Source organism: Homo sapiens, chromosome 15, assembly GCF_000001405.40.
Source record: "Homo sapiens chromosome 15, GRCh38.p14 Primary Assembly".
NCBI classification, from domain to species: domain Eukaryota; kingdom Metazoa; phylum Chordata; class Mammalia; order Primates; family Hominidae; genus Homo; species Homo sapiens.
In genome coordinates, this window is record NC_000015.10 from 49,761,585 (window position 1) to 49,771,226 (window position 9,642).

Genomic DNA, 9,642 nt, shown 5'->3' on the forward strand with positions numbered 1-9,642 from the left:
GTGACTATGGTGGAAAATATAAATAAATATTATTTAAAACCAATACCAATGTCTGTTGGTTTTAAAGTATATGTAGAATTGAAATACGTAATAGCCAAATCACAACGAGTAGAGAGTTAAATGAAGTTAAAGTGTTACAAGGTCTTTGCATGATATGGAAAGTTTGTAAAATTATTAATTGACATTAAATTCTTATAAGTCAAAGATGCCTGTTGCAATAATTGGGGTATACAACAAAAGGAAAGTTTTAAAAATTGCAAGCAAACTAATAGAGTGAGAAATGCAATAATTAAAAATTATTTAGTATGTAGTATTACTAGATACAAAGTATATTTTTGTATATCATAATTTAGAGATAAAGAAAAAAATCATTGTGAAAAATTCAAAAGGAAGGTTTAAGTACTTTGAAATATTTCTATATTTATCTTGCATGACAAGAACTCTAGTCCCATTGAACAGCAACTCTTTATTTCACCCTCTCTTGTAGCCCCAAGCAAACACCATTCAACGTTCTTTACTTATCAATTTGACTACTTTAGATACCTCATGTAAGTAAAATCATGTAGTATTTGTCCTATCCCCTTCAGCACAATGTCCCCCAGGTTCATCTGTGTTGTAGCAAATGACAGAATTTCTTTCTGATGGCTGGATAAGCACATACGGGGTGTGTGTGTGTGTGTGTGTGTGTGTGTGTGTACGTGTGCATATATATATATTTATGTATATATATACACCACAATTATATTTTCTTTATGCATTTATCTATTGATGGGTATTTACATTATTTTCAGCTCCTGGCTGTTGCAAATAATGCCGCAATGAGTATGAGAATACAACCATCTCTTCAAGATCCTGATTTCTTTTAGATAAACACCCAGAGGTGGAATTGCTGGATTATATTGCTATACTATTTTTCATTTTGGGGGGAACCCCATACTGTTTTACTTAGCAATTTTACTTTGCCATCAGTGGTCCACAAGGGTTCCAATTTGTCCACATATTCACAATACTTGTTATTTTCTGTTTTTTTTTTGTTTGTTTTTTTAAAGAAAATCCTAACAGGTGTCAGGTGATACCTCATTGTGGTTTTTATTTGCATTTCCCTGGTGATTAGTGATGTTGAGCATCTTTTTATATACCTGTTGATTGTTTGTTTTCTTTTGAGAAATGTCTATTCAAGTCCTTTGCTCATTTTAAAATCAAGTTACTGTTTTTAAACTTTTGAGCTATAGGAGTTTCTTATATATTAACGTCTCATCAAATATATGGCTTTCAAATATTTTCTTTCATTTTATAGGTTGTCTTTTCACTCTCTGGATGGTTTCCTTTGCTGTGCAGAAGGTTTTTAGTTTGATGTAGTTTCAATTGTCTACTTTTGCTTTTGTTCCCTGTGCTTTTGATGTCAGATCCAAGAAATTATTGCCAAGACCAATGTTATGAGGATTTTCTCCTATAAGTTCTTCTAGGAGTTTTATTATTTCTGGTCTTGCATTTAATTCTTTCATTTTTAGTTGATTTTTGTATATGGCGTAAGGTCGGTGTTCATTTTCATTCTTTTGCATGGGGATATCCAGTTTTCTCAATGTCATTTGTTGAAGAGACTATCCTTTCCCCATTTTGTAGTCTTAACACCATTATTGAAGATTGTTTGACTGTTGTGATGGTTACTTTTAATCTGTCAACTTGACTGGGCTAAGGGATGCCCACAAAACTGGTAAAACATAATTTCTGAGTGTGTGTGTGTATGTGTATTTCCAGGAGAGATCAGCACTTGCCTTAGTAAACTGAGTAAAAATCACTCTTCCAATATGGGTATCATCTAATCCTTTTAGCTCCTGAAAAGAACAGAAAGGTGAAGGAAGGGTAAATTCGCTCTCTGTTTGATCTGGAACATCCATCTTCTCCTGCCCTGGGATGCCAGCACTGCTGGTTTTTGAGCCTTAGGACTTGGACTGGAAATTATAACATTGGCTCTCCTGGTTCTCAGGCCTTTGGGTTTGAACTGGCACTATACCACTGGCTTTCAGGGACCTCCAGCTTGCAGATGGCAGATTATGAAATTTCTCAACCCCCATAATCAAGTGAGCCCATCCCTCATAATAAATATCTGTCTGGTACTATTTTTCTGGAGAACCATGACTTATAAATCCATATATATGTAAGCTATTTCTGTTCTCCATATTCTGATCTATAATTGGTCTGTCACTAATGACAGTATCATATCGTTTGATTACTGCAGGTTTGTAATATATTTTAAAATTAGGAAGTGTGGGGCTTCCATCTTTGTTCTTCTTTCTCCAGGTTGTTTTGGCTATTTGGAATCCTTGTGGTTCCATATAAACTGTAGAATTGTTTTCATATTTTTAAAAAAAATTTTAACTTTTATTTTAGGTTCATGGGTACATGTGCAAGTTGGTTATATAGGTAAACTCATAACTCAGGCGTTTTTCTGTACAAATTATTTTGTCACCCAGGGACTAAGCATAGTACCTGATAGGTTTTGTTTTCCCCAAACCTCTCCCACTTCCCACCTCTTAGTCTTAAATAGGCCACAGTGTCTGTCGTTCCCTTCTTTCTGTCCATGTGTTCTCATTATTTAGCTCCCACTGTTAAGTGAGAACATGTATTATTTGGTTTTCTGATCCTTCATTAGTTTGCTGAATATAATGGCATTTGCTTTCATCCATGTTTCAACAAAGAACATGATCTCGTTCTTTTTTATGGCTGTGTAGATATTCCATGGTGTATATGTACCATGTTTTCTTTATCCAGTCTACTGTTGATGGGCATTTAGATTGCTTCCATGTCTTTGCTATTGTGAAGTGCTGCAATAAACATACAAATGCATATGTCTTTATGGTTTTTATATTTCTGTAAAAAATGCCGCTGGGATTTTGATAGAGAATGTATTGAATCTTTAGATTGCTTTGGATAGTATGGCCATTTTAATAATATTAATCTTTCCAATCCAAGAACATGGGATATATTTCCATTTATTTTATTTATTTTATTTTTGTCTTTAAATTTAACAATATTACATCTTCAAATCCGTGAGCACTAGATGTCTTCCATTTATTTGTATCTTCTCTAATTTATTTCAGAAATGTTTTGCAGTTTTCAATGTATAAGCCTTTTGTCTCCTTGGTTAAGTTTTTTCCTAAATATTTTGTTCTTATTGATGCTATTTTAAATGGAATTGTTTTCTTAATTTCCCTTTGATTGTTCATTGTTGGTATATAAAAATACAACTGATCTTTGTATGTTGATTTTGTATCCTGTTATTCATAAATTTGCTATTAGTTCTAAGAAGTTTATTCTTGTTTTTGTTTTTTGTTTTTGTGAAATCCTTATGATTTTCTACATATAAAATCATGTCATTTGTGAACAGGGACAATTTTACTTCCCTTCCAATTTGGGTGCATTTTATTTCTTCTTATCGCCTAATTGCTCCCGATAGTACTTCCAATGCTATGGTGATTAGAAGTGGTGAGGGTGAGTATCCTTGTCTTATTCCTGATCTTAGAGGAAAAGCTCTCCATTTTTCAGCATTGAATATGAAGCTAACTATGAGTTTTTCATATATAAACTTTATGAGGTCAATATAATTTCTTTCTACAGGTAGTTACTTAAGTGGGTTTTAAATCATTAATGAGTGTTTAATTTTGTCAAGTGCCTTTTACACACCTATTGAGATGGTCATGTGGTTTTTATATTTCATTCTGTTAACATGGTATATTACAGATTGATTTTCATATGCTGAACCATCCTTGAATTCCACAAATAAATCCCAATTGACATAGTGTATGATACTTTTAATGTGCTGTTGAATTTGGTTTTCTTGTATTTTGTTGAAGATATTTGCATCTATATTCATCAGGAATATTGGCCTTTAGTTTTCTTTTCTTCGTCATCAGGATAATTCTGTCCTCAAAATTAGTTTGGAAGTATTCTTTCCTCTTAAATTTTTTAGAAGAAATTTGAGAAAAGCTGCAATTCTTCTTTAAGTATTTGCAGTAATTCACCAGTGAAACCATCTGGTCTTGGGCTTTTTTTGTTGTTGTGAGGTTCTTTGATTATGGATTTAATCTTTTTGCTAGTTATACGTCTGTTCATATTTTCTATTTATTCATAATCCTGTCTTGGTAAGGTGATAAGGTAGGGGAATAAATTCCTAGAAATTTATTCATTTCTGTTGGTTATACAATTTGTTGGCAATATAACTGTTCTTAGTACTCTCTTATAATCCTTTAATTTCTGTAGCATCAGTTGTAATGGGCCCTATTGCATTTCTGATTTTATTTATTTGAGTCTTTTATCTTTTTTCTTAGTTGGTCTAGCTAAAGACTTGTCAATTTTGTTTATCTTTCAGAAAACCAAAAATCAGCCTTTAGTTGCATTTTTTTAAATTTTTCTAGTCTGTTTTATTTATTTATGCTCTGGTATTTATTATGTTCTTCTACTAAATTTAAACTTAGTTTGCTCTTTTTATAGTTCCTTGAGGTGTAAAGTTAGGTTGTATCTGAGGTCTTTCTTTTTCTTAATGTAGGCATTTATCACTACAAATTGCCTTGTTAGACTTGCTTTTGCTGCATCCCATAATATTGGTATGTTATGTGTCCGTTTTCACATGTCTCAAGATTTTCTTTTCTAATTTCAGGAGACTGTTAGTTAATTTTCACATATTTATGAATTTTCCAATTTTTATCCTGTTATTGACTTTTAGTTTCATACTACTGTGGTTTGAAAAGATACTTGACATGATAACAATCTTTTTAAATTTGTTAGTGCTTGTTTTATGGCCTAACATATGATCTATCCCAGACAATGTTCCATGTGCATTTGAGAAAAATGTGTTTTTTGCTATTGTTACATGAAATATTCTGTATATGTCTGTTATATCATATTGTTCAAGTATTGTTCAAGTTCACTATTTCATTAGTGATATTTGGTCTGGATGGTCTACTCATTGTCAAAAGTAGGGTATTGATGTGCTCTACTATTACTGTATTGCTATCTATTTCTCCTTTTATTTCTCTTAATATTTGCTTTATATATCCAGATGCTCAAATGATGGTTGCATATATATTTTCAACTGTTATATCCTCTTAATGAATCGACCAATTTTCTTAATAAAATGACCCTGAATATGAATATCCATTTTCTTCCCATTTGGGAAGTTTTCAGCCATTATTTATTTAAATAAACTTTCTTCTTATTTTTTTCCTTCCTCTGAAATTCCCATAATGTATAAATGTATATATTGATCTGCTTGATGATATCTCATAAGTCCCTTAAGCTTTCTTCACTCTTTTCCAATTTTTAAAAAATTTTTGATTTCTGACTGTGTAATTTCAAATGACTTCTCTTCAAGCTTATTGATTCTTCTGCTTGATCATGTCTGCTATTGATCCCTCTAGTGAATTTTTCTGTTCAGTTATTGTATTCTTCATGTTCACAGTTTCTGTTTGGTTTGTTCTTTTTTTATATTTCCAATTCTGTTGATATTCTTATTTTGTTCATATATTTTTTAGCTCATAAAGCATTTTTATAACAGTTATTTTTAATTCTTTTTGAGTAATTCATGTACCTCAGTTTCTTTACAATCAGTTATGTATGTATTTTGTTCCCTTCTTTGGGCCATGTTTCCCTGTTTCTTCATGTGTCTCATAGCTGCCTCCAGGCATTCAAACTATACCTGTTTCATTAGCACTTTGAATGAAGGGAGACAGAAAAGTCCACCAGGTATCCCTGCCTTCAAGAAAGAAGTTGTGAGCCAGGACTGTCTCTCCATGGGAAAGGGGGTAGGTAAAGGGAAATTGCCCTATTAACCTGTTTCAATGTGGCTATTCTTTGCTTTGTGCTTGCCTTGAGTACTGAAATGTCTTAACTAGAGTTCAACATTCTTACAAAGGTATTTTGGCCCATGTATCATTAAATTGGTGTTTCTGTGGAAGAACAAGAGCTACGAATTCCTACTTCACCACCTTGTTGACGTTACTCCTCCTCGCTTGATTTTTAAGACAATAAGTAAACAATTAAATCCTCTGAATTGTAAATGTATAATCTTACTAATAAAAGCAGAGAGACAAGGTTATTAAAACCTATGTTTGCTTACAGAGATGTTCAGGAGGAACAACAATGCCAAACACAAAGGCAAAAGGAATGGCCATGAAACTTCAGCACTGAACAGCAAACCATGAGTGGAAAGTCTGGTTGTTTAGTGCAGACTACATTTCCCTATAAGAAAACACTTTGAGTAAAGCCCAGCCTTAGACTGCTACAAAAACTCACCATTCTTCTTATCCCCAGTGCCATTTATTCTGACATATAAAATGACTCTATGAATTCTTTAGAAATGTAAATCCAGGGGTGCCCCAGCAGCCCAGAAACACATGTTCCCTATTAAGCTAATCACCACCAAATCTCTGGGAGATTCACGTTATCACTGAGAGGAACTGCTGGTACTCTTTACACTCAGTTCTGAATTTGGCCAATAGTCCTATTTTTTGAGGATTTATACCCTTTGGGGTTATTAGTTGTTTTGTTTTACAGTCTTAGAAGCCTGGCCAATGACAATGTTTTGCCTGAGATACAGGTGCAGTGCCACTTTTCTGTCTGTATAAAAAGGAATCACAGCAAGTTCCAACAGATCCTGTCAAGAAAGAGGTCAGCGTCATAACTGGTAAAGCTGTCTCAGATTGACTGCTTAGTTCCACTGTTACATGGGCCCATTTGTGAAGGGTGGGAATAACAAGAACAGCATTTTGTGATATTTGGGTGACTATGGAGACTAATTTTAGGCCTACACATGGAGTACAAGGACAGGGCTGTCTTCCCCAGACAAGTGTTGCCCTTAGAGCCTGACAAAATATATGCAGAGGAATTTCAAAGGCACTACTATGAAATTATTTTTTCTTGCCTTGTCATTATTTTTTCTTTTAACTTAAGAAAAAATGGTGCATTGGCATCATTTCCCAGAAAGTACATGATTCTTCTCTCTGCAATACCCATTCCTTGGTAAAAGAGAGAATTATCACAGACACATTAAGGTATAGCAAAAATTTTTTTAAACCACACTTAAAACCCATTCCTTAATCTAGGTTAAAGAACTTAAGAGCAAAAAAATTATGAACTTATTCCCTTCCATTTTTATTTTACTCTCTTTTTTTATGTGCAAATTTTATCTCTGCATCAATAATCAAGGACTCAGAAATGTGCTTAGAGTATTATCCTCCCTGCCTCTGCCATTAATTCACTAGCTCCCTTTCCTTAGGGACTGTGTTCTACAATCTCATCATAAACAACATTATTCTCTTGCTAACTCCTACTCATCATGCGTCTGCGATATTATGCAGATCCAGGCCTTTAGTAGAACCTGCAATAGTGAAAAAACCCCAAACACATTGTTTGAAAGCCATACCAACAATACAATAGGAAGGGTATTACAGTGAAGTGCTGGTTTAAGGCCAAGGGAGTGGCTGGGTCCCCCCAGCAACAGGTGCATTCACTTCCAGACCCGCTTTGGTCTGTCCTAATTAGCATATCATTTCAATTGTCAAAGCCCCCAATGATGACTATACCTCAGCTTCCAATGAACAGGAATTAAAGAAAAATTAACTCAAAGATATCTTCCTCTCCTTCTGTTATGGAGTTACTAGAGTTTATTAAGTGTCTAGAATCTGTTTGTTGGACAATCCTTTGGCTTAAGCTGCCTTCACACTCTGATTCATCCTTCCCCTGACCCATTCCTTGCCCCACACCCATCTCCCATCGTATTTTGAAAGGTTAATGGCTGGCTCCAATCACTGGCAGTCTTCTTTGCTATTAAGCATGGTTTTCATTTCCTTATTTTTATAAACTGGTAACCATCCAAGTTTCCTCCTAGGACTGCAACATGTAGTGCAAAAACAAGCTTGTTAAAGCATTGCTTCTTTGGGTCATAAACCATTCCTGAACACCAACTAGGTGGAACCAGGAGTTGGCAAAAGAGATCCAACCCAAATTTGGCATGACTAGTGGGAGAAACTGAAGGAAACAATGTCCTTACAAAAGATAAGAGTCATCTGATTGGCTGTATCATTATCTGGTGGATTCTATATCAAATATGTTCCCTCCACTGGCCCTAAATGTTGTTGCATTACATGAGTTAGCAAAGGAAAATAAGAAAGCCTTTAAATGTTGGGGAGTGCTAAAGGAGAGAGAAAGAGTATGGGTGATGTACTTTGTAGTCTAGTCCTCAGTTTGAAAGCATGGGCAACTCCATCATTCTTATTTCCATCTCTGACCCAAGCAAGTTCCTTAACCTCTTTCTGCCTCAGTTTTATGATCACTGAAATGGGAATCCCAATACAACCTTCCTCATAGGAAATAATGCATTGTAAAACATATGAAGTACTTAGTCTAGGGAAAAATACATAATGAGGGCTCAGCAAATGGTAAATGTAAGATAAAATTGTATTTTTATTAACAAAATTCACCTGGCTTACCCATACCTGTTCATGTGCTCAGATACAGAAAGAAGTACATGTACTCAGACACATGACTCTGGGACTCTGGAGTTCTTTGTTCCAATTGCAGCCTGTTGAGGCTTGAGTAAGTTAGACAATGGCTGCAGAGAGAATCTCTGAATCTATAAAAACACAAGGCATGTCTGAGTGGATGAATCGACTGCCTCCTCTCAAAGATATGAAGATATGATGTTTTTACAGCCTAAGCCCCATTGCACATTCACATTAGCCTTGGGACTAGTCCCATCCAAGCTTTGAATTTACCTAGAAGGGGCCAGGTATACCTTTTATTCTGAGGTCAGAGTAATGGAGGTATGTGAGCCAACATACACACAAACACACACACCTACACACATATACATGTGTGCACACACACATATCCAAATTTAACATAAATCCAAAGAATCACTCTTAGGGAGTCTTCCATGGAGACTTGGTTGGATATTGGCTCTGTATTTATCAAATTCTTTGAGTTTGATTAACAGTCTTACCTCTTCCTAACTCCTCCTTAGCAACCTACTAAACCTCTCTATGCTTCATTTTTCTCTTTGTAAAATGGGAATTACAATAGTTGTTACTATTCGTTTAAATTATATGAGGCATGTAACTTGCCTGGCATGCACGGTACATCTTTTTTATTTTTTATTATTATTATTATTTTTTTGAGACAGAGTCTCGCTCTGTCGCCCAGGCTGGAGTGCAGTGGCGCAATCTTGGCTCACTGCAAGCTCCGCCTCCCAGGTTCACCCCATTCTCCTGCCTCAGCCTCCCAGCATGGTACATCTTTTAGTAAATATTAGCTATTGACTTTATTTTTGTTTTAATTTTTTTTTTTTTAAAGAAAGACATAAGCCCAATCTGGAGCCCCAAGGCAAAGCTTCTTTTCACCAAAGACAAAACAATTATATTTCATTCAGGGGTTTGTTTCAAAATATCTGTTAGATATTAGCAAAAGGAAAAATACAAATACTCAGAGACTGAAAGAAAATAACCCAAAATATCCAGTAACTTTCTCTTAATGATGGGCTTATAGAAAATTATTTTTTGCTTTATATTTTTCAAAAATTCTAAAACACTACGATGAGCACAAATTACTTTTATAGTCACAAAAAGTCATTATTTTTACAAATATTCA